This window comes from Homo sapiens, chromosome 1 (genome assembly GCF_000001405.40).
Source record: "Homo sapiens chromosome 1, GRCh38.p14 Primary Assembly".
Classification (NCBI taxonomy): Eukaryota; Metazoa; Chordata; class Mammalia; order Primates; family Hominidae; genus Homo; species Homo sapiens.
In genome coordinates, this window is record NC_000001.11 from 212,241,079 (window position 1) to 212,266,547 (window position 25,469).

The following is a 25,469-nucleotide window of genomic DNA, read 5'->3' on the forward strand; positions in this document are numbered from 1 at the left end:
TTACGACATTGTGATGGGTGCTGGGAAAATAATTCTTGCAGTCCCTTATAGAAATCTCCTACCTAGAAATCTTATATGTGATTCCACAAGAAGGCAGAGGCCAGGCCACAAGCGTTTTTCCATGTCCCCTCCTCTTCTTCAGCTGTTGGGTCATAAATGCTGCTTGGGATATGTTCATTCCTCTTCCCAACATTTATCTTTCTGAAAAGTAGGTAGTGATAGTTGTTCAAAGTCAGCATACCATAAATATCGCTCTTAACCCTTTTGTGAAACCAGTTTTGAGATACTGCACTGATCATATTGCTTTGCCAACTCTCCTGGAGAATCCTTGGCATTAACTATATTGCGTCAGTTAAGACTTTTGGCTACACACATCAGAAACTCCCCTTGAACTAGTTTAGCAAAAAAGGGAATATATTAGCTTATGGAATCCATAGAAAGGTTGAGTATCCAAACTAAGAAAAGGTCAGGAAAACATGGAGCTGGGCCTCAGGAACCACAAGCACCAGGGACTTCACTGTGCCGGCCTTTGTCTCTACTGTGCATCTGTTTCTCACTCATGGTTGCTTCATTTCTCTTTTACTGCAGACAGGCTATCTCCATTTCCATGGCCATATTTCCATAGGACAGTTTCTATCACCAGAGATGAACTTAGCTGATCTTTCACTTGTTCTAAGTTAAGAAATCCCAATGGGAGGGCCAATGTGTGTTCCAGCTGTGACCAGGTTCTGGGTCATCTAAGAACATGATGTTTCCAACATGAACACATTGTCTAGGGGAAAAGCAGGTCTTAGAAGATTGGGAGGTAGTGGGCTAAGACGAGGATATCCTTCACCCCTAGCTATTCCTTAGAGATAATAAGTTTGATGAGGAGGCAGAACAATTAGGTGATGAGTGAGAATTCTTAAGAAGTGAAAATAAAAATCCTGAGAGTGTGGATGTGCCTGGCCAGGGTCATCCATTTTTACAATGTTTTGACATCCAGTGAAAAAATAATTGCAGTGAATCTCTCCCTGACTTGGCCCCCAAAGAGGCAGACCTAGGTATTTTAGGACCTGAGTCAAGTTTGAAGAACTGTGCTGTCTCTTCCCAACCTTCTCTTCAGAGAACTAAACCACGGGGGTAACAATCCTGTAATTTTGGCCGTATTTATAAATCCCTGATCCTTTATGTAGCGCATTTTTTCTACTCTGCGCTTAGTCTGAATGTTGCTATTTTCACAGAGGAAATCAGAGGAAAGAGACTATAATTATAGGTCAAACACCAGCTCCGGAAACAGTGAAGGCAGCAGAGAGCCTATGACTCCCTGCCCTCTTCCGGGTTACACCCTGGACATCTCCCCGTTCTTTCCTGGAGCCTAGGTCAGCTCTTCGCCTCTTTATCTTCATATCTTTGCTGTCTTGTTTTCCAGTCCAGCATATCATGAGACAAAAAGGGAAAGTTACAACCAAAAGCCAGTGAGTTAAAACTGCACGATACTTGGGCAAGCCTGCCTCTTGGAGATAATTCAAATGGAAAAGAAAAGACAAAAAACCCCACAACATTTCAGGTCATTGGCCTTTTTAAACAGACCGCCGGCAATATTTACTCCTCCTGAAATAGCACAGTCACATGAAATAAAACCGTGTTCGGTAAAGCCTGCAAAACAAAAGGACAACTTACAGGCTGGCATGCTCACTGAGGGCCTTCTGTTTACCGGCCAGATCAGGGCTCTGCTTCCGGGCTCTCTAGCCACCTTCTGCCCAAACCTGCTGGAGAGCTGTGGGGGTCAAGGTCAGATTTTCTTGGAGACCCTCCCCACTCTTTTCCCCTTAAATGATTTGGAAAGGCAGGTTGAGAGTTGGGAACAGGGCTGTGAAGAGTATGTGGCTGATGTGGCCTCTACTGTAGAAGCCCAGGTTGTGAATGTCGCAGGAGGAGCTTCTAATGGTGTCTGCCCTTGTCCAGCATGGTCACCTCTGTTTCCTCTCTGTTCTTTACTCCTTACTTCTTAATGCATTTACCTCCCCCACACCTCCCCCAGACCCCTGCCTTCTCTCTCTCTCATCTGTTTCCCCCCCTCAGCCTATCTTGTATTCCCCTTTTGCCTTCTCTCCTGACCTTAGTTCTGCCAAGGACCCTTCATGGACCTTTAGTGATTAGTCCAACTGTTGCCTGGAAGGTCTAAAGTAGCTGCTAATGGTGAGGTTAATGAATGTACAGTCACAGGCCAGATCTGGGGTCATGGTGAATTCCCACTGAGACTGAGACTTCACTGAGGACTCAGGGGAACCTTCTCAGTCTCATTCTTTAAGCTTTTCCTCTCCATTACTGATATTTCTTTGTAAAAATCCAAAAACCATTTAAAATAATACATTATACCTTGTTTCTCAAAGTCTTTTTATATCCGTTGATTTCATCTTTACATCAACCTTGAGAGGGAGGCAAAACAGTTGAGGAAAGAGAAAAACAAAGAAGCTCAACAACATTCCCAAGTTAGTTACAGAGCTATGTTCTCTGCTCCCTGGGTTCTCCTGAAGCAGGAGAATCTCTTGAACCCAGGAGGTGGAGGTTGCAGTGAACTGAGATCGTGCCACTGCACTCCAGCCTGGGTGACAGAGAGAGACTCCATCTAAAAAAAAAAAAAAAAAGAAGAAAGAAAATAAGATTCATTCCATACACCAGAGAGGGATCCTCCAACACCCAGGGTGAGAAGTACATTATCAGGCATCCCTGGCTTATCAAACACTGGACACTTTGTTGACAATCAACTTTGTCACCTGGAACTTCATGAAACAGATTTCCCTGAGTGTCTGTGTTTCCTTCCTTTCTTTCTTTTTTTTTTTGAAACGAAGTTTTGCTCTTGTCGCCCAGGCTGGAGTGCAATGGTGCAATCTCAGCTCACTGCAACCTCCACCTCCCAGGTTCAAGTGATTCTCCTGCCTCAGCCTCCCAAATAGCTAGGATTACAGGCGTGTGCCACCACACCTGGCTAATTTTTGTATTTTTAGTAGAGACGGGGTTTCACCATGTTGGCCAGGCTGGTCTTGAGCTCCTGACCTCAGGTGATCTGCCCGCCTTGGCCTCCCAAAGTGCAGGCCTGAGCCACCACGCCCGGCCTGTGTTTCCTTTCTTTACATCAACCATCTAGCAGCTACTGGTTTCATTTTCTTTTGCACATGCCAAAGTATGTACAGTAAGTGGAAGAGTTAGCCAGAGATGTATATAATGTACTCTTATTTTTTCAAATGATTCAAAAGAAAATTATGACTGTAAAAATTTACTTTTAGGCCTCTAGTGGAGCCTCGCTCTCTCTTTCCTTCTCTCTCTTTCTCTCTGTCCATCTATCTATTACAGATACTAAGTGCTCAGCACTGTGATGTAGGAGGTTCTGATATATTTGTTGGAAAAAGAATCCTCGAGAAACAGTGTAGCAGAAATGTGTGCTTTCACTTCTAACAGCCAGCACTTGCATCTCTATGTCAAAGGGCTGCTCTCAGGCTGCCAGGACCCCCTTTGCATGAAGGCACAGAGAGCTGAAGGGTCTGGACTTTACACACCCGGAAAGCAGCCCTTACCCAGTGACTGGCAGGTGCAGTGAGTAAACACTCCACTCTGAGGTCTCACTTACACTGTCACTGCCCTGTGGGACTGAGCTCAAGTTACCCTCTGTGGGATTTCACTTGATTCCATATCCTTTTCTGGATTCCACATCTTTTTCTGGATTCCACATATTCCTCATTCCACCTTCTCACACCCCTACTGTTTTTTCCTGGGAACACATCCTAAAAAAAATCACGTCCACACCAATTCTTGTCTTAAGATGTGCTTCTGAGGGAACCTAGCTGAAGACAGAGAGTTTGTTTTGTCTTGGGCTCCCTCCCAACCCAAGTCTCTAGGATCAGAGTGAGTGAGAGAGATGGGGGAGTGGAAGAGCAGGCCTGTCTTCAGACACCAGAAGGAGACGTAATTAAAAGCTGAAGATGGTGCCTTCCTAAGGACCGGTGATACAGTTTGCATGTCCCTTCCAAATCTTATGTTGAGATGTAATTCCCAGTGTTGGAGGTGCGGCCTGGTGGGAGGTCTTTGGGTCATCGGGGAGAATCCCTCATGGCTTGGTGTTGTCCTAGTAATAGAGAGTTCTCATGAGATTTGGTTGTTCAAAAGTGTGTGGAACCTCCCCTGGCTCGCTCTCTTGCTCCTGCTCTTGCCATGTGAGGCACCTGCACCCCCTCCACCTTCGACCATGATTGTAAACCTCCTGCGACCCTCACCAGAAGCAGATGCCAGCACCACGCTCCTTGTACTGTCTGCAGAAGTGTGAGCCAATCAAACTTCTTTTCTTTATAAATTACCCAGCCCCAGGTTTTTTTTTTAATAGTAATGCAAATGGGCAGCACTCAAGCAGGGAGAGACAGTGTTCCCAGGTCTGCACAGAATGTATCTCTAGTGCAGAGGGGAGAGGACTGATGGTAACTGAATATCACTTGACACCTCAGGGTTCCCAGTTTGAAAAATACCAGGAGATGGAACCCATGTGGGAAAATGACATCCTTAAAGTAGGCAGAGGGAGCAGCTTCGAGGCCTTTCTTCCAGGTGGTTTCTTGGGGGCAGATGTGCATGAGCAGACTTAGGCCTGAGTGCATGAGAACCATCATCTGGGATGCCCAGAAATAACTGGGAGAATGAATGAAGCACTGATACATACAACCACATAGATGCACCTTGACAACATGCTAAGGCAAGAAGCCAGTCATAAAAGGCCATATACTGTTTGGTTCCATTTATATGAAATGTCCAGAACAGGCAAAGCCATGGAGACAGAAAGCAAATTAATGGTTGCCAGGGGCTGGGAGGAGATGGGAATTAATGGGAAGTGACTGTTTTGTGGGTAGGGGGTTATCTTTTTCAGTGATGAAAATATTCTGGAACTAGATAGTGGTGATGGTTGTACAGAGTTGTGAAATACTAAAAGCCGCTGAGTTGTACACCTTAAAATGGCACATTTTATGATATGTAATTACATACGTAAACCTCAATTTTAGAAAAGAAAGAACTAGGAAATTTGAGGTGGCAGAAGAAAAGCTGAGGTCCTGATTCACAAGAGGAAGTTGCAAGTTAGTAAAATATTTGTTGTTAATGCTACTTTCTCTTCATTTATTGCCTGAATTGTTTCTCATTTGCCTGGTGATGATTGGGATCATCTGTGTTACATGAGACAGTATAGAATTCAGTGCTAAGTTGTGCAGCACACATTCTAAGTGTGGAAGGTGGGTTGTATAGATCACATACTGTACAACCTCCGTGTCTGTACATGGTAGCCCTGGTCAGTTACATATTTCTGCAAACTTCAACACAGGATCTCCACATACAAAGATAGAATGCTAGATTCTTTCTTCTAATTGTTTCAATGGAGTGCAGTGGCGAGATCTCGGCTCACTGCAACCTCCGCTCCCGAGTTCAAGCAAATCTCCTGTCTCAGCCTCTCAAGTAGTTGGGACAACAGGCACACGCCTGACTAATTTTTTTGTATTTTTAGTAGAGACAGGGTTTCACCATATTGGCCAGGCTGGTCTCGAACTCCTGGCCTCAAGTGATTCACCCGATTCAGCCTCCAAAGTGCTGGGATTATAGGCATGAGCCACCACACAGAACCTGAGACCATGTCTTTTTAAGCAAAGGGATTCCCCCCTTTCTTTGCTGCCTTGAGTCGGGGAGCTATAGGTTCTTCCTGATGCTGTGATTTCCCTACCTGACTCCAAACTGGGTATACACCAGGGGCCTGGCACTGGTGCCCACCCTATGAGAGTCTTCAACCCTGGATAGGGTTCTGTTCTGTTTGCTACGGATCTTCCCAGATTCTTCTCCAAATGTCAGGGTTGGTACCTGGGTCCAAAGATTTGCCTCATTTCTGAGGCAACAGAAAAGCAGATTTGATTTCTGGAAGTCATTATGGCATCTGATTTTTCTTGGTCACAATACACTCTAACATGGAGTAGGCTAATTATGATAATACATTTGATATAAAACTATAGTGAAATTGTAGTCTAAGCACTAAGGCCAGTTCAAAAGTCATTACAAGTTTTCTTTTTCAGTGAAAGAAAAAGGAAGTTCCAATTAAAATGTAGGATTTAGCTCCAACCATCCAGTTCTAGCATTTCCTAAGCTTTTGGGACTAAAAATAAATCATTTTCTGACAGTAGTTAGACAGTTCCTTTTCCTCTGAACAGCACGGTCTGAGAGATAGTTAACTTCCCAGCATTCTTCTGTGTATTGTGCGGCGGGTCCAGCCCTCCGCTCCTCACCTCCACACTTCCACCCCGCGAGAGAAATCAGCATAGATGGGTCTCTCCTCCACGGCCTGCATTTCATAAGGGGGTCTGTCTCCAGACACCCAGGTTGGGTGTTTACTTGAAGGCTTGGATGGATAGGAATGCCACTTTCTTATTCCAGAGCTGGTGGAGTGCCTGCTCCCCGCTACTGGCTGTGAGCCAGAGATGGCCTAAAGTCTAAACATTCCCACTATGTAGGCATGTTTTCAATGTCCCTGAGCTTGAGTCACATCTGAACTCAGAGTTTCTGCCTCCTGAGGGAGTTTATGTGGTTGTGTCTGTGTGCTGGTGGGGTTTGTATATGCATATTATGGATTGGAGTGTTTGTGTGTATGTATGGGTGTATTCTGGGAGTTAAAGTGGCTAAGTGTACATATAAAAATTGATATTTATTGTGAAACAGTCAAACAGTAAAGAAAAATGTAAGTTAAAAAACCATAAAATATCACTTTAGTGGACACTTTCCCATGTATTTCTACACACACACACACACACACACACACACACACACACGTAATTTTCTATAAGTGTTATCAATATATTGGAAGGCTGTTTTCTAAGCTAATAATAATAAGAATGGAGAGTGAGTGCTTGCTGTGTGCTAAGTACTGTGCTGGTCCCTTGTCCCTTGATATAGATTAACCTCACTTAATTCTCATGGCCACTTTATGAGGTAGGTACTATCATTATCCCCGTTTTACAGATGAGAAGACTAAGCCAGAGAGAGGGTAGATAAGGTTAGTCTCAAGTGGGTGGCCACACAGCTAGTAAGGGAATGGAACTGGGATTTGGACTCATCTGACTCTGGGGACTCTGTTCTTGACCACTGCTTGATAAAACCAGGTGACAGTAGGCAGCACAGCTGGGCAAGGGTTATTCTTTCATCATTTACTGAGTACCTGACATGGACTAGGCCATAAAAATCCATACAAGACACAGATCTTCTTGAGGCTCAAAGTCTTTTGAAGGAGACAAATGTGTAAGTAAATGATGGCAATTCAGAGTAATTAGGCAAATTACAAAGAGAACAAAAGGGAATCCATTAATACTACCTGAGGAAATTGTAGAGATAACATTGTAACTGTGTCTCAAAGGAAAAGGAGGAGCTGTTTGTTGGGAGTTAAGGTTGGGTAGGATGGGAAGGAAGGGGAAAAGGCCACTTTAGGCTGAGCAAATAACATGTGCAAGGGTATTGGAAATCTTAAGTGTGTGGTGTAGCTGCAGGTAAAGAGTAAGGGAAGGTCTTTGGCTCATGCCTGTAATTCCAGCACTTTGGGAGGCCGAGGTGGGTGGATCACCTGAGGTCAGGAGTTTGAGACCAGCCTGGCCAACATGGTGAAACCCCGTCTCTACTAAAAATACAAAAAATTAGCCAGGCGTGGTGGTGGGCACCTGTAAGCCCAGCTACTTGGGAGGCTGAGGCAGGAGAATCGCTTGAACTCGGGAGGTGGAGGTTGCAGTGAGCCAAGATTGCACCATTGCACTCCAGCCTGGGCAACAGTTAGACTCTGTCTCAAGAAAAAAAAAAAAAAAGGCCGGGCGCAGTGGCTCATGCCTGTAATCCCAGCACTTTGGGAGGCCGAGACGGGTGGATCACAGGGTCAGGAGATTGAGACCATCCTGACTAACACGGTGAAACCCTGACTCTACTAAAAATACCAAAAATTAGCCGGGCGTGGTGGTGGGCGCCTGTAATCCCAGCTACTCGGGAGGCTGAGGCAGGAGAATGGCGTGAACCCGGGAGGCGGAGGTTGCAGTGAGCTGAAATTGCGCCACTGCACTCCAGCCTGGGCGACAGAGCGAGACTCCGTCTCAAAAACACACACACACACACACAAAAAACAGTACCGGAAGGGTGGCTCACAGATGGGCATGCAAACTGAGAAGAGTCCGGCTGCTCCACTGAGGATGTTGGCCCCTATTGTATAGGCAGAGGGGAACCACTGCAGCTGCATGAGCAGGACAGTTGCATCATCACAGTGGTGCTTTAAAAGAACAATTAGACAGCAGTCTGGAGGAAGATTCAGAGTGGAGTGGGATTGGAGTAGAGAAAGCGGTTATGCATACAAACAGTAATGCAAGGGTTCTCAGTATTGACTGCCTATGACAATCACCTAAAGAAGTTTTAAAAAAATACTCAGGTGCAGGCCAAACCCTCAGAGATTTTGATTCAGTTAGTCTGGGTTGAGGCTGGGAAAATGGTAGTCTTTAAAAGCTCCCCAGGTGATTCTAGAGTGCCACCAACGTTGGGACCACATCACTACATGGCAGTGTTTAAGAACACAGGCTCTTGTCTCCACAACTTACCAGAAAGCAGGAGATCTTGGGCAAGCTTAGTTGTTGTTGTCATTGTTGTTTTCAGACAAAGTCTTGCTCTTGTCCAGGCTGGAGTGCAATAGCGTGATCTCGGCTCACTGCAACCTCCGCATCCCGGGTTCAAGCGATTCTCCTGCCTCGGCCTCCTGAGTAGCTGGGATTACAGGTGTGCACCACCACGCCCAGCTAATTTTTATATTTTTTAAGTAGAGATGGGGTTTCATCATGTTGGCCAGGCTGGTCTCGAACTCCTGACCTCAGGTGATCCACCCACCTTGGCCTCCCAAAGGGCTGGGATTACAGGCACGAGCTACTGCGCCCAGCCAGTTACTTAGTATTTTTAAGCCTTTGGTTTTCTCACCTATAAAATGGGGATGATAATAGTTACCCCATTGATTAGTAATTATGATATAATATTTATTATAAAACAGTCAAACAAAAAGGAAAAATATAAGGTATATGTATGGTTTGAATAACCCCTTGAAAACAAATTTGATTGCTGTTGGCAAAAATATCTGTTTAATTGCAATTAAACAGTTTAAGAGGTAAAACCTTTATTTTTTATTTATTTGAGATGGGGGACTCACTCCGTTGACCAGGCTGGAGTGCAATGGTGTAGTCATGGCTCATTGCAGCCTTGACCTCCCAGGTTCAAGCAATCCTCCCATCTCAGCCTCCCAACTGAGACTGGGACCACAGATGCACATCACCATACCTGGCTAATTTTCACATTTCTTTTTTGCAGAGACAGGGTCTTGCTACGTTGCTCAGGATGGTCTCATAGAGATAGGTGATTAAGAGGTGATTAAAAGGTGATTAAGTTATGGCTCCACCTTCATAAATAGATTAATGCTGTTACCATGGGAGTGGTCTATTTGTCACAGGAATAGGCTCCTGATAAAAGGATAAATTCAGGCCCCATCTTTCTCTTTGTCTCACAGACTCTCTTGCCCTTCTGCCGTGGGATAATGCAACACAAGGCCCTCGCTGGATGCTGGTGCCATGCTCTTGCTCTTCCCAGCCTCCAGAACCATGAACCAAATAAATTTCTTTTCTTTATTAACTACCCAGCCTGTGGTATCCTTTTATAGCAGCAGAAAACAGATGTAGTTAGTATAGTATATAAGGATTTGAGCACTGTTTCTGACACAGAGTAAGCATTCAATACATAGCAGCTATCATTAATACACTGCAGTGACTCAGGAAAGAGATGATAAGGATTGGAACTAAGTCAGAGGCAGGGGAGATTGCAAGAAGATTATGCATTATCCAGATATTTCAAGAGAGTAGGTGAGGAAAAGAGAATAATTGAAGAGAACTCCATGATTTCAAGCTTGAACAACTCGAGAGATGTTGATGCCATCACTGAGTTTGGAGAAACAGGGATAGGATATAAAGCAAGGGGATAAGAAGTAAGTATTGGGATGGAGAAAATAAGTTGGATTAGATGTACTGAGTTGGAGGTACCTGTGGGTCATCGGGTGGAGACATCCAGCAGGAAGTTGGCATGATGGTCTGAGCTCAAGAAAGAGGTCTGGGCTGGAGGTATTTTTTTGGGGAGCCATGAACATATGAGTGGAAAGTTGAAGCTATAAAAGTAGATAATGGGCTGGGCGTAGTGGCTCATGCCTGTAATCCCAGCACTTTGGGAGGCTGAGGGGATCACCTGAGGTTGGGAGTTCAAGACCAGCCTGACCAACATGGAGAAACCCCGTCTCCACTAAAAATACAAAATTAGCTGAGCATGGTGGTGCATGCCTGTAATCCAAGCTACTCGGGAGGCTGAGGCAGAAGAATCGCTTGAACCTGGGAGGCAGAGGTTGTGGTGAGCCAAGATTGTACCATTGCGCTCCAGCCTGGGCAACAGAAGTGAAACTCTGTCTCAAAAGAAACCAAAAAAGTAGATGTTTATCAAAGAGAGTCTATTAGTGAGAATAGATGAAGGTTGAGTTTAGAACATGGGAAATGTCCAAATATATGGGGTGGATGGAAGGAAAAGGAATCTGCCCCCAGGAATAAGGTAGGGGATAGAAAGAATAGCAGGAATTATAAGGAAAACTAAGAAACAACTATTATCCACAGGAAAGGAAATAAGCCTGGGATAGAAAAAAAGTCTAGTTGGGAGCATTGAGCAAAATAACAAAATTTTTTTACTTAGTCACTTTGATTCAATTTAATAGGATGCTCTTAAAAGACTTTAAAGTTTTTTTCATTTTGCCCACTGCTTCCAAAGGCCATCTTTTCATTCCATATCTAGATGGCAGATACTGGAGCAGAAGCAGTGGCAAAAAGCCTCAGTCACATCTTGCCCTGCGGTAGTCCTGTGCAGGGATGGCATGAATAACTGTAGGAGGCAAAGGAGCAAGCATACCCTTTATACCCTGAGACCCTTGCTCAAAGCTGTCAGTATCTAGCCTGGGAAAGGCTTTTGCTGCCCATCATGCCTCTCAGGCTTTTTGGTACTCAAAGAACCTAGATGACCCTTTTCATCTGTATCAGGAAGCCACTTTTGGACCCTACTGTCAGCACCATCATCTTACTCCTCTCCACCAGGAGGACATATCTTCAAAGTAGCTCCTTCCTACCAGAAAGTTTGGACAATCAGGCCACTCACTGAGTTCAGAGAGACTTCAGAAGTGGCAGCCTAGGGAATCAGTACTCTGTAAGTGGCCTGGGCACCAGAGGCTGTGGGAGACTTTTTGAAGCTCATGTCTGATAGTAATGGTTCTCAAAGATTGACCCCTGGGCCAGCAGCAGCATCTGGGAAACTTATTAGAAATGCAGATTCTCAGGACTCATCCCAGGCCTACTGAATCAGGAGCTCTGGGGGTAGGACCCAGCAGTCTGTGTTTTTAATAAGCCTTCTCAAGTTTGAGAACCACTGTCCTGTATAAACAGGACTAGAAACACCAAGGTTAGGAATCTGTCTCCTTTTTTCTCTGTATCTCTCCCTAGTACACAATTCTTCAGGTAGTAGACTTAATAAATGTTGTTCAGCAGGTGTTTATTGAGGATGTAGTATGTGGAAAACTGTAACGTTGAAGCCAAACACACACACACACACACACACGCACACACACACATTCATTTGCACATACTCACACACGAGACTTTTTCTTTGGGACTCTATAATTACATATACAAGAGTTAGATCAAAGATAGATCAAGGCTGGGCACAGTATCTCATGCCTGTAATCTCAACACTTTGGGAGGCTGAGGTGGGAGGATTACCTGAGGTCAGGAGTTCAAGACCAGCCTGGCCAACGTGGTGAAACCCTGCCTCTACTAAAAATACAAAAATTAGCCAAGCGTGGTGGCACACACCTGTAATCCTAGCTACTCAGGAGGCTGAGGCAGGAACCTGGGAGGTGGAGGTTGCAGTGAGCTGAGATCCCACCACTGTACTCCAGCCTCAGTAACAGAATCAGACTCTGTCTCAAAAAAAAAAAAAAAAAAAAGATCAAGACAAGGTATTAGGATTGTAATGAGTAGGCTATAAATGATACCACAGGGCAGATCCAGAATGTAGGACATTCTACAGGCCTATTAACTTGAGGGGAAAAGTAGAGGAGAGACTACTCTAGCTTAAAAGGAGTTAAAGGGCTGGGTGTGGTGGTTCACACCTGTAATCCCAGCACTTTGGGAGACTGAGGCAGGAGGACTGCTTGAGGACAAGACTTAGAGGCCAGCCTGGGCAACATAGCAAAATCCTGGGACAGACACGGTGGCTCAGGCCTGTAATCCCAGCACTTTGGGAGGCCGAGGCAGGTGGATCACTTCAGGTCAGAAGTTCAAGACCAGCCTGGCCAACATAGAGAAACCCTGTTTCTACTAAAAATATAAAAATTAGCTGGGCTAGGTGGTGTGCACCTGTAATCCCAGCCACTCTGGAGGCTGAGGCAGGAGAATTGCTTGAGCCTGGGAGGCGGAGGCTGCAGTGAGCCGAGATCACGCCACTGCACTCCAGCCTGGGTGACAGAACGAAATCATCTCAAAAAAAAAAAAAACAAAAAAAACCATATCTACAAAAAATACAAAAATTAGCCAGGCATGGTGGTGCATGTCTGTAGTCCAGCTACTCAGGAGGCTGAGGTGGGAGGATCGCTTGAGCCTGGGAGGTTCAGGTTGCAGTGAGCAGTGATTGTGCCACTGCACTCCAGCCTGGGTGACAGAACGAAATCATCTCAAAAAAAAAAAAAAAAAAGATTGAAAAGAGACCTCACAGACATAACCAAGTACAATCCTCCCAAAGTGCTGAGATTACAGGTGTGAGCCACCATGCCCGGGATTACAGGCGCCTGCCACCATACCCGGCTAATTTTTGTATTTTTAGTAGAGACAGGGTTTTGCCATGTTGGCCAGGCTGGTCTGGAGCTCCTGACCTCAGGTGATCTGCCTGCCTTGGCTTCCCAAAGTGCTGGGATTACAGGCATGAGCCACCGCACCTGGTTCTGAAAATGAACTTTTAAAAAGAACAATTTGGGAAACTTCAATATAGACTGTAGATAAGAAGGAATTATCAATTTTTGGCATTGTGGTGATAGAAGAAAATACCCTTTCTAAGATGCATGCTAAAGTATTTGGGAGTAAGTTGACATAACACCTATAATTTGCTTTAAAATGCTTCAGCAGGCTGGGCGCGGTGGCTCACGCCTGTAATCTCAGCATTTTGGGAGGCCGAGGCGGGTGGATCACAAGGTCAGGCAAGTTCAAGACCAGCCTGGCCAACATGGTGAAACCCCATCTCTACTAAAAATACAAAAATCAGCTGGGCATGGTGGCACATTCCTGTAATCCCAGCTACTCGGGAGGCTGAGGCAGGAGAATTGCTTGAACTGGGACCCAGGAGGCAGAGGTTGCAGTGAGCCAAGATCGTGCCACTGCACTCCAGCCTGGGGTACAGTGAGACTCTGTCTCAAAAAAAGAGAAAGAAAAAAAACTTCAGCCAAAAAGCAAAAAGGTGGGGAGGTAAAGGGAGGATAGATTAAATACGTATGGCAAACTTGATGGCTATTGAAACTGGTTGATGGGGTCATAGGGGTTTTTATGTAAGTCTGAAAATTTTTATAATAAAAGTGGTTTGTTTGTTTTTTATTTTTTTTTTAACACACTTGCACATCATCTGTAGCTTGTCTGTTTTTTAATGAATGGCGTAGACACTGATGGTGGAGTTCAGACGAGGGTGTAGTAGCAAAGACTAGAACCACTACAGAAAGATTTGCGGGGGAGATGGAAGTGTGCATTTCCTTCCTCCCTTCCTCCCTCCCTCCCTCTCTCCCTTCCTGTGTTACCATCTCCCATACCAGGTAGGGTGCGGTATTAAAACAGCATGGCAGGAGTGTGGGTATCTTTTGGGGAGGTGGGAGATTGCCTGGGGAAGTTGGTGGCCAGAATGGAGAGGAATGTGGGGAATGCCAGGCTGGGCACCCGGCTGGACCTTGTACTGAAGCCAGTGATGAGGCTTCTGTGCAAAGAGAGTGATGCAACCTGTGTTCCAGGCAGATTAATGTGGATAATGCTGGCGTGAGTCCGAGAGGTCTGGTAAGGGGCTGTTACCCAGGTCCAGGCATGAGGAAGGGATAAAAGCTTGCATTGTACAGAAGTGACAGTGACAAGAGACATTTCAGATGAATCAAGAATCAGCAGAATCTGCTGGTGACCATTTATGAAGCTAGTATGGGTGAGGCAAAGTAGTACTTGAACAATGGGATAAATGGCTGTCCTGTTTAATGGAAATAAGGAAACTGAGATGATTTGGGAGATGAGGATTAGGGGTTGATTTTGAACGTGCAAAATGGGTGGAAACAGAACAACCAAGCTGAGATATTTCAAACAACAGATTGTTCCAAACAATAGGCTATTTCAGGGGTGAGATGAGGAGACTCAGAATCAAATAGATCCACTGGGATGAAATCGTTCACCCCGGCCCCTTTCCCATATAAAACCTGATTGAAGTTTGAGGATGAAGGTCTGAAAATGAATCTGGGAAAGTGAGTGGTCTAGCCAAGATGGAACTATGGGGGAGGGTGAGGAGACAAGTTGGTGTCTCCACAGGTGCTGAAGAAACCTCGCTTTTGACATCCTGCTCTCCTGTGACTTTGCTTCCTGTTGTGATAGGAGAACCTGCCCAGTGTTCCATGGGGCATGGCTCTAGAGTCATTCTGTTTACACCGAGCTGCCTCTCGGTTGGATAACTGTGTGGCTGAAGAACGACACGGAGCATTAAGCTAGGCCCCCGAGAGTGGGGACCAGCTCTATTTCCCCTGTCCCAAGTACACAGGATATAACGTGCCCTCCCTGGAGATGTCCACAGGGTGCTGCTGACCTCCCAGGTCCCTGCCTCACAGAACAGGGGGATTCTCTTCCTGTCATGACTATTTAGTTACTGGGCTAACAAACAAGAAAAAGTCACATGGGGCAGGATTTCAAGAGCAGAGTTACTTCAGTTGCCTGTGGAAATAACACCAGGTTGTGCAAGAAGACTTTTAGGCTGAAAAAGGCATGTTAAATCTTGGTCTGATGGTCTGACCATCTGAAAAACACAGCCCGTTTTTTCTTTTTTGGAGCTGCAGATAGGACAATGATGAGACCGTACCTCTCTCATGCCCCACAAAAGACACAAAAAGAGAGAGGCCTGAGTTTTGTGATACCCGAGAAGATTTGCATTGGTTTATCTGAGTCCTCATTTTCAGCAAATGACAGCAAGAGGCCAATAAGACACAAAGGGATTTTTTTTTTCTTTTTTTGCTCAACTGCCTTCCTTCCTGCTAAAAATCTCTCAAGCTCTGCCCATCCCTCTTCTTTACCCCACCCTGTCCCTACCACAAACCCACTTCCTCCTCAAAGTCCCAGCCCTCCCACTAGCACACTCTTTCTCCCCTGCCCCTTCTGCTCCCCTCCCATGGCTGCTAGCTCAGGGGTCATGCCCAGGCAGCCTGATGCAGGCCAGGATTCTCACTTCACTCAGCAGCCCCCAACAAAGCTGGCACTGTCTAACTGGGTCACCTTGGGAGAAGGCAGGCAGGAGTGACTGGGGTTGTGTCCTGAGAGCACGGCCAACATGGCCCTGTCTTGTTGTAATCACTTTCAATATGGCTTCTTATTATCACTATTTACAATATTATGAATGTATGAAGAAGAGCTACCACCAAGTGAGTACCTACTGTCTTCCAAGCATAGTGCTCCACACATTACATGCCTTTTCTCCTTTAATCACCCCGCAAACACATGAAGTAGCAGCTATCACAATACCCTTTTTAAACATGAGGAAATAAGGTTTAGAGAGGTTAAGCAACTTGCCCAAGACCAGGTAGCACCAAGCGGCAGCACTGGGATGCAGATTCAGATGTGCCTAGTTCCCAGCCCCCTCCTCTTAACCATCTTGACATAGGCTTGAGTGGCATTTATCTTGACTTATTCCCACCTAATGAAGTAGGAAGACCATTCAAACAGGAAGCCATCTGGGGTGAGGGGAAGCTGGTCACTGGGGATCTGGGGTCAGACTGCCCAGAAACCATGGGGATCTAGAAATGGTCATCTGCAGAGTAGCCTGCTCTTTCTCAAGGGAGTTGTGGCCAAGCTCTATCTTTGCCAGGCCTCTGGGCTAATATCCTAGTTGGTTTAGTGGTAATAGGGCCAAGGTCACGAATCTGATTCCTTTGTGGGCCAGTGAACTTCCATCCACTCCAGTGTCACAGGCAGCACTCCTAACTTTGACCAACGGTTCTCAACTTCAGACCATTGGATGAGAATAAAAATGGTTTAGGCCGGGCGTGGTGGCTCATGCCTGCAATCCCAGCCTTTGGGAGGCTGAGATAGGGGGAATGCATGAGCCCAGGAGTTTGAGACCAGCCTGGGCAACATAGTGAGACTCCATCTCTGCAAAAAATACTTTTAAAAACAATTAGCTGGGGATGGTGGTGTGCACCTATAGTCCCAGCTACTCAGGAGACCGAGGTAGGAAGATCACTTGCGCCTAGGAGGTCGAGGCTGCAGTGAGCCAAGATTGTGCCACTGCACTCCAGCCTGGGTGACAGAACAAGACCCTGTCTCAAAACAACAACAACAAAAAAATGGTTTAACACAACTCTTTAATTTTTTTAAATAAATAACCCATAAAAGCATGTACTCTGCAGATGGATGGGCAAGAGTTACAACCCTTATATAAAAACTGTTTTCTATTTGCAATAGAAGAGACCTGGTATCTCAGTGAATCCCAATCCCTGAAAGGACAAGCTCCAAATTTACTCCTTCTCTCCCAAAAGGTATTACTGGGAAATGGTAGAAGTGTTCCAATCCAGTTGAGATATCACATTTTAATTGTTTTGAGCTGGTTGAGGTCACGACACACAACGTTCTCATCAGGTGTCTCTGAGACAAAAGCAAAATCTTAATGTTCAGTAACTCAGCACAGATCCAGTACAGGACACAGAACACTGTGGAAATGAATACTATGAGGAAAAGCTATACAAACTGGCCTCTTGTAGAGATGGCTGCAGACTGTAGGGATTGTGAATGATCCCAAACAGGCTCTGGGCCAATGAAGGAGGCAACCTCCACTGTGTACACAGCACTGCAGTGGGCTTGGTGGAGAGCCATGGCCGTCTGTGAACTTTGGCCTGAACTTTGGAGGAGACAGAGCACACATGCATGCATGCAAAAACAGACAGAAACATGCAACCAAAACATTGTGTACGTAATGGTGGGAGGGCAGAGAGACAAAGCGAAAAGAACCAAGTGGATTTAAACAAGAAACAAATATCTGGCTGGGCGCGGTGGCTCACGCCTGTAATCCCAGCACTTTGGGAGGCCGAGGCGGGTGGACCAACTGAAGTCGGGAGTTCGAGACCAGCCTGACCAACATGGAGAAACCCCACCTCTACTAAAAATACAAAATTAGCCAGGCGTGGTGGCACATGCCTGTAATCCCAGCTACTCAGGAGGCTGAGGCAGGAAAATCGCTTGAACTCAGGAGGCGGAGGTTGCGGTGAGCCGAGATTGTGCCATTGCAGTGCAGCCTGGGCAACAAGAGCGAAACTCCATCTCAAAAAAAGAAAGAAAAAGAAAGAAGGAAAAACAAATTTCCAAAAGAGGAAAGAGGGAGAGCATGGAGCTTGGAGCTGAAGATTCCAAGTCTAGATGGAGAGAATAATGTGAGTCTGTGTGTAGACACAGGACCGAGCTCCTAGGGTGCCAGTGGAGCTCCAGGCCTGTGCCCAGGAGAGAACTGGAGATGAGGCCAGCTCTAGTCTATGGCATTGTGCAATGCCAGTTGGTTGGGATGGTTCTACCCCCAATCTATACCAAATTAATTAATTCATCAACATTTATTGAGTGTCTACAAGTGACTGGCATTGTACAAGTCACAGAAATATAATGATGCTTAATAAATAGTTTTACCTTCAAAGAGTCTATGATCCAGTCTAGTTGGGGACAAAAAAGCAAAGAGATGATTACAGTATCCTGTGACTATGATAGAGATCTGCCTGGGGTGCTCAGAGGTAACAGAGGGGGGAGATTGAGCTCAGGACAGTGTCAAGGATGGTGGTACCTGAGTTATCTTGAAGAACACATAGAAAATAGATGGTAAAGAAGGTGGGAAAAAGGCAATCTTAGAGCTCAATCTGGGCAAAGGCATAAAAGAGAGTTCCCACCTCACTGGGAACTGTAAGCAGTGTTTAGTGACAGGGAGTGTTGAGAAATGATTTTGAAGATACAGGCAGAACCAAATTTGAATTTAAATGTCAGACCAAGGATGCAGTGGGAAGCATTGTTCAGATGAAAGGTTTTAAGCAAGGAAATACTAGTGTTAGCATTTAATCCTGAGTTGTAGTCATGGATATAGGGTGAGAAGATAGAACAGCTTTTATGGTAAATAAGTACAACACCCCTCCTCAATGTCTACCCTTTCTCCCAGCAAGCCTGCTATCTCCAACATTTCCTTTTCCTCATGCCCCTTGTACTACTCAACACATATCAAAAATGCTGGGAAAGTCAGCCTAATTCTACTTCCACTAAGGAACATCAGCAGGCCTGGTGTGGCACTTAAAACGGCCTCGAATTAACTCCAAAGTGCCCTCTAAAGTTACCCAGGAGACCGAGAAGTGATTTGTTAGGAAGATGCCATCCAAAGTCTTACAAATATCTTTTACCTGCCAGTCCAAAATCTCAGGAAAATGGTAGACTCCTGAGTCAGCATAGTCATAATTTTTTTTTTTTTTTGAGACAAGGTCTTGCTCTGTTGCCCAGGCTGGAGTGCAGTGGCATAATCACAGCTCACTGCAGCCTTGACCTCCTGAGCTCAGGTGATCCTCCCACCCTAGCCTCCTGAGTACCCAGGACTATAGGCATGTACCACCACACCTAGCTAATATTTTCATTCTTTGTAGAGATGGGTTCTCACCATATTGCCCAGGCTGATCTTGAACTCCTGGGCTCAAGCAATCCTCCTGCCTTAGCCTCCCAAATTGCTGGAATTACAGGCATGAGCTACCTCGCCAGGTCTCATAATCTTGATGTTAGCCCAGAACAATCTGTGACTAGGTAGGATGGATGGATGGATAGATAGATAGATAGATAGATAGATAGATAGATAGATAGATAGATAGATAGATCAGCCAGTACTAGTTTTGGCTTCACAATCATATCCTGCTACCAAATTTTCCTTTTCAACAGCTGCCGTCTTAAAGTTGTAAGAACTTTAACCTATTTATATCTGATTGGTTTTGCCTCTAAAGTGATTAAAATGCCCATTTGATTTCCAAGATGCTGTGGGTATTAGGGGCACAGGCTAGCTTTTCAAATGGGTTTGTCTCTTTCAAAACAGGAAGCAGCATTGTCCAAGTTCATTAAAAATCAGCATTGGAGAACACTTACTGAGTGCCTAATTATGTAATCAGATTTTGGCCTGGGGCTGGGAATAACATTTCAAAGAGAGAGGAAGAGTCTGGCTGAACCTGGTTGGATTTAAAAAAAAAAAAAAAAAAAGCAAGAGTGAAAGATCAAGCCAGCTGGGTCCCTATCCATGTATGCTGGTCTCTGTTAGTTCCATGTCCTTGAGCCAGGTGGCCAAGGTAACTAGACTTGGCATGTCCTACTTCCCCAGATCCAGAAATTAGCGATCCTTTCCCAGGGATAGTGTCAGACCCCTTTCAGGTGTGATTGTCATTGGGGCATCATGCCTAGTGGGAACAGACTAACTTTGAATAAAAAAATTTTGAGGCGGTAAGACATGTCTGTATTTTTCAAACTCAAATGAGTTGATACCCAGCCCAACTCATACTGCGGTTGGTGACAAGAACTGAATCACACCTCTCCTGACTTCCACCATGCTGTCTCCTTTTCTCCTTGCCAATTCACTATCACCTTGGAGCCACAAAAATGCAAAACAAACCTGAACCTTGTGTTGTGAGGTAAGCCCATGAGTCATGGTTGAACAGCAGTTTCTTTTTCTCCATGTTAGCTGTGTTTTTCCTTCACTGTGGCCCAAACAAGCATCAACTTGGTGACATCAATTCATCATGTTATGGAGTAGGCACTGTGTTTGGAGATGGTAGATTCTGCAATGACTCAGGTGGTAGGGTATTTTCTTCTGATAGAGTACCCAGGAGGGATTTATGAGTTCAGAAGGCAGTAGAGTAGGGCACCTGCTTTCATTCACTGTCAGGTGGTCAGCAAAAACTTCAAGCAGAAGAAAGAATTTCAAAACATGTTAAATGCCTGGGTGTGGGGAAAGCTCCCAGGGCAAGAGGAAGGCAACTCTCAGAATGAGCTGCCTGAGATTTGCAAGATAATTGATTGGCTGAGGCCTTGTGGCACCTTCTAAAATTGGGTGTGGCTGGAAATAGCTGTTGGGGGAACCATGGGAAAGACAGAGCTCTGCTTTGAGTTCCAGGACTGTCCTGCAGGGCAGGTGTCCACTATGCTCCTAATCTCTGCTCTGTCCTTAGCCACCACCTCCGCCCTTCTTTTTCCATATCAGCTGTACTCAGCCCTTTCAAGCTTATCTCAAACTTTTGCATAAAACTCCTTCTATCCCGTGATACTTTTTGTCCTTTACAGAGTATACCCAGATCTCCAGGGTCAAAACTCCTTTTTCCCTTCCAATTTTTCCAAATGTTCCCACTTGGTGGCCAAATGTTTTTTTGAGCAATTATCATGTGCTGTTGGGAAATTCACAAGTTATAAAACAGTCACTGTAGCCTGACCAGGGAGACATACAGGTGATAATATTAAACAATAATACAAAGTAGTATAGGATTACCTGACAAAAATATACAATGGGTGGGAAATGTCTCAGGAATTTAGAGGGTTAGGAGATTATACTGGGGCTGGAATCCACAGTGAGGGCCTCATGGAAAAGCAAAATTTCAGTCTAGCTGGTGAGTGAGTGGGGCTAGGAAGGCTTTAAGTAAGGCAAGTTTAGGGAACATATACTTGGAGAGACAGTTTTATGGTAGGGGATAATAAAAATAATGTTTAACAACTAAAGAGCACCTTATAATTTACAACTTTTCTCACACACACATACACACGCACACACAAACACAATTGAATTTAAGAGGGGCAAGATAAGCCAGATAACAGAACCTTCTGAATATCATCAAAGATCTGGAAGTTTCAGCAATGTTGTGGTCACCTACCTCCTGCCAAGCAATCTTGTATATCGTATCTCATTTAATTCAAGAAGTAGTCTTGTGAGGTAGATGTTGTTATCACCATTTTACATATGAGTAAATTAATGGTTAAGGAACTTCTCAAGATCACATAGTTAATAATAATAATAATAGCAATTACACATGGTAATCACTATATGCCAGACACTATTTAAGTATTCTTACAACAACTCTATAAAGTAAGAACTCTTGTTAACCCCATTTTTAGATGGGAAAAACTGAAGTGTGGAGATGTTAAAACACCTGCCTAAGGTATACAACTAAGAAATGTCAGAAACTAGCCACAAATGTGAGACATATACATAATTTTAAATGTTCTAGCAGCCACATTAAAAAATAAAAAGAAACAAGTAAAATTAATTTTAATAATACATTTTATTTAACCAAATATCTCCAAAGTATTTTAAAATTCATTTTTATGTTTTATGTTTTTAGAGACAGTCTTGCTCTGTCACCCAGGCTGAAGTGCAATGGTGCAATCATAGCTTATTGCAGCCTCAAACTCCTAGGCTCAAGGGATCCTCCCACCTCAGCCTCCTGAGTAGCTTGGACTACCATGCCCAGCCAAAATATTATTTCAACATATAATCCATATTAAAAATTATTAAATATATATTATATTCTTTTTAATGTGAAATCTCTGAATTGAGTATTTTTAAACATACAGCATATTTCAATTCAAATGCTAAATTTGCATCAGAAATATTTGATCTGTATATTTCACACACTTTATAGTTTTAAAAAATAGATTCACATACCCAAGTTATTCCAAACATACTTAAAAGTTTTCCAATAACTAAGTTGAGTACCAAAAATAATTTTCTTTTAACATTTACATCCATATTGTCAAATCTGGTTTCTTTATTTTTAGAAGAATTAACTTGACTTTAAAGCAAACTTATTATCAGTTTCAAATTATGTCTGTTTAATTCAGTAACTCTTGTGTCAACTCAGTATTATTAAAGTTGAATTCAAAGGGGTATTACATAAGTTGAAAATAAATGATACATTCATCAATTATATAATGTATTCATATTCTTAGTTTCACAACAAATTTGCATAATACTGTTTATTATAATGAAAATTTGCATGTTAATTTGTTAGAAGAATGTATAAGATTGTTATTGATTTGTATTACGAAAAATTTTAGTTTCAACATAGATTTTTGTACTTGTCTAGCTAGGTCATGGATAAGACTTTTCCTTTCCTCGAAGCTTCAAATTTAGCTCATTCATATGCTGTGTGATATCAATGAGAAAACAAAATCACACTGCTGTTTTTGGTCTTTTATTATTAAATATTTGGAAAGTATTCCTTTTGTTTCAAGAAAATTTTAAATGAGAATTAACAGTACATTAAACCTTTGTAAAGATCTCTCCACTACTCAACCAATGGGCATTGGAAAAGAGCACAAGATCATTACATTTACTTTCTTTTATGTATTTCTACAGTTCTACGAGCTGATGATTCATAGCATTTGCACATATATTTAACAACTGTATCATGACACTGTTCAGAAAACTGAACATAAATATCTTCAATATGTATAAGAGCAACAAAGTAATAGAAGAAATATCAGTTTCTTGCTTTAAAATTGCAATAAATCTAGACTTTTGATTTAACATAGCCAGAGCACCCTTCTTTGTGATAGAATCTGTGTTATATCTAGCTGACTGTTTTCTTTGACAGGAATAAAAGACTCAAAAACATCTACACCAGTCAGTTCACTAAATAGGCTGCAAAATAGCAATACTTGTTTTTTATAAGTTTGAAAGTCCTTTTAAGACAAAACACATTCAAAGTATTAATTGAGCAGGTCCTCTTATATAACTTCTCAAAGTAGAAGAAAGTCCTTGTAATTTTCCAAAACTTAAATCAATTGAACTTTGGTATTGTTAGAAAAATTTTGTATTCAATAGGCAGTTGTTTGGCAGGTTAAATTGAAGGGCTTTCATTCCCCTCCTCCCAGTTTTACTGAGGTATAATTAACAAAAATCGCATATATTTAAGATGTATGATGCGATGATTTGATATACGTATATATTGTGAAATGACTACCACAATCAAGCTAACATACCTATCACCTCACATAACAACGCTTTTTTGTGTGTGTGGTGAGAACACTTAAGATAAACTCTGTTAGCAAATTTTAAGTATACACTACATTATTATTAACTATAGTCATCATGCTATACATTAGATCTTCAGAATTTATTGATCTTATAAAGGAAAGTTTGTACCCTTTGACCAGTATCTCCCTATTTCCCTCACCCTCCATCCCTGGTAACAACCATTCAACTCACTGTTTTTATTTTATTTATTTTTAATTGTTATTATTTTATTTATTTATTTATTTTTTGAGATGGAGTCTTGCTCTGTCACCCAGGCTGGAGTGCAGTGGCACAATCTTGGCTCACGGCAACCTCTGCCTCCCAAGTTCCAGCGATTCTCCTGCCTCAGCCTCCCGAGTAGCTGGGACTACAGGCATGCGCCACCACACCCAGCTAATTTTTGTATTTTTTAGTAGAGACAGGGTTTCACCACATTGGCCAGGCTGGTCTCAAACACTTGACCTTGTGATCCACCCGCCTTGGCCTCCCAAAGTGCTGGAATTACAGGTGTGAGCCACCGTGCCCGGCCTATTTTTTTTTTTTTTTCAGACTGAGTCTCGCTGTGTTGCCCAGGCTGGAGGGCAGTGGCGCAATCTCGGCTCACTGCAACCTGTGCCTCCCAGGTTCCAGCGATTCTCCTGCCTCAGCCTCTTGAATAGCTGGGACTACAGGCACACGCCACCACACCCAGCTAATTTTTGTATTTTTAGTAGAGATAGGGTTTCACCATATTGGCCAGGCTGGTCTCGAACTCCTGGCCTCAGGTGATCCAGCAGCCTTGGCCTCCCAAAGTGCTGGGATTACAGTCATGAGCCACCATGCCTGGCCAACCCACTGTTTTTATGTTTGACTTTTTTAGATTTCACATAAGTGAGGTCACACATTATTTGCCTTTCTGTGTCTAGCTTTTTTCACTTAGCATAATGTCCTCCAGGTTCATCTATGTTGTCACAAATGACAGGATTTTCTTTTATTTTTTAGGCTGAATAATATTCCTGTGTGTGTGTATCATATTTTCTTTATCAATTCATCTATCAATGGTCATATAATGCTGCAGTGAATGAAGTGCCGATATCTCTTTCAGATACTGATTTCATTTCCTTTGGATATATACCCAGAAATGGGGTTGCTTGATCATACGATAGTTCTATTTTTTGATTGTTTTAGGAACCTCTGTGCTGTTTTCCGTAATGGCTGTACTATGCTTTAACTTTTTGTAAAATATATTTTACATTTTTTCTTATACTTTTCCACCAATATATCCATGACTAAAATAATAATTTCTTTTATTACCTCTCTATCTAAAAATGACTTTCTTTTTTGTGTAAGAATCTATGTCATCTTATAGTAGGCCAACATTATATGCTCAGATACCGCGAAAAATTGTTTAAAATATTTGTTGGGCATATAATTCTAATTTCAGGCAACCAATATTAATTCTTTTTTAACTGCTGAGAGTAAATGTCTTACCAAGTTCACTATATATTTGCTGAAAATGTCTCATACTATTGTTTACTTCTTTTTTTGGGTGGGGGGATGGAGTCTTGCTCTGTTGCCCAGGCTGGATTGCATTGGTGCCATCTTGGCTTACTGCAACCTCTGCCTCCTGGGTTCAAGCCTGCCTCAGCCTCCCAAGTAGCTGGGAGTACAGGCGTGTGCTCCATGCCTGGCTAATTTTTGTATTTTTAGTAGAGACGGGGTTTCGCCATGTTGGCCAGGCTGGTCTCGAACTCCTTTCCTGAAGTGATCCACCTGCCTCAGCCTCCCAAAGTGCTGGGAGTACAGGTGTGAGCCACCGCACCCGGCCTGTTTACTTTATATTTTTAAATAAAATAAACAGCTTTTAAATTTTGCTCTGCTGCAGCAAATTGCAATTGCTGTTCACTTTGTAAATTTGTGACTTGACTTCTTCCAGTCTCTTTTTTGTTGAGACAGTGTCTGCTGTGTCGCCCAGGCTGGATTGCAGTGCCCCAATCATGGTTCACTGCATCCTCAACTTCCTAGGATCCAGCGATCCTCCCACCTCTGCCTCCCAAGTAGCTGGGACTACAGGTGTG

At 43.6% G+C, this 25,469-nt stretch overlaps 1 long non-coding RNA gene across 1 annotated transcript in view, besides 4 other annotated features; it reads right to left on the reverse strand.

Moving 5' to 3' along the window:
• Positions 1–25,469, reverse strand: part of LINC02608 (long intergenic non-protein coding RNA 2608) — a 72,020-nt gene that overhangs the window by 28,077 nt on the left and 18,474 nt on the right. The gene's annotated exons all lie outside the window — the stretch shown is intronic.
• Positions 11,780–12,026: a silencer, noted in NCBI's record as "fragment chr1:212426200-212426446 (GRCh37/hg19 assembly coordinates)". NCBI's record gives its function as "represses an EF-1alpha promoter that drives an FKBP-Casp9 reporter gene in an ReSE screen in HepG2 liver carcinoma cells {active_cell/tissue: HepG2}" and the evidence as "EXISTENCE:reporter gene assay evidence [ECO:0000049][PMID:32094911]".
• Positions 15,099–15,600: an enhancer, noted in NCBI's record as "H3K4me1 hESC enhancer chr1:212429519-212430020 (GRCh37/hg19 assembly coordinates)". NCBI's record gives its function as "activates a minimal SCP1, AML or CMV promoter by ChIP-STARR-seq in primed H9 embryonic stem cells {active_cell/tissue: H9 hESC(primed)}" and the evidence as "EXISTENCE:reporter gene assay evidence [ECO:0000049][PMID:30033119]".
• Positions 15,214–15,393: an enhancer, noted in NCBI's record as "active region_2501". NCBI's record gives its function as "activates an Ori minimal core promoter by ATAC-STARR-seq in GM12878 lymphoblastoid cells {active_cell/tissue: GM12878}" and the evidence as "EXISTENCE:reporter gene assay evidence [ECO:0000049][PMID:35858748]".
• Positions 18,421–18,590: an enhancer, noted in NCBI's record as "experimental_3428 CRE fragment used in MPRA reporter constructs". NCBI's record gives its function as "activates a minimal promoter by MPRAs in K562 erythroleukemia cells, with activity observed for the non-introgressed 1:212432926 variant allele {active_cell/tissue: K562}" and the evidence as "EXISTENCE:reporter gene assay evidence [ECO:0000049][PMID:34662402]".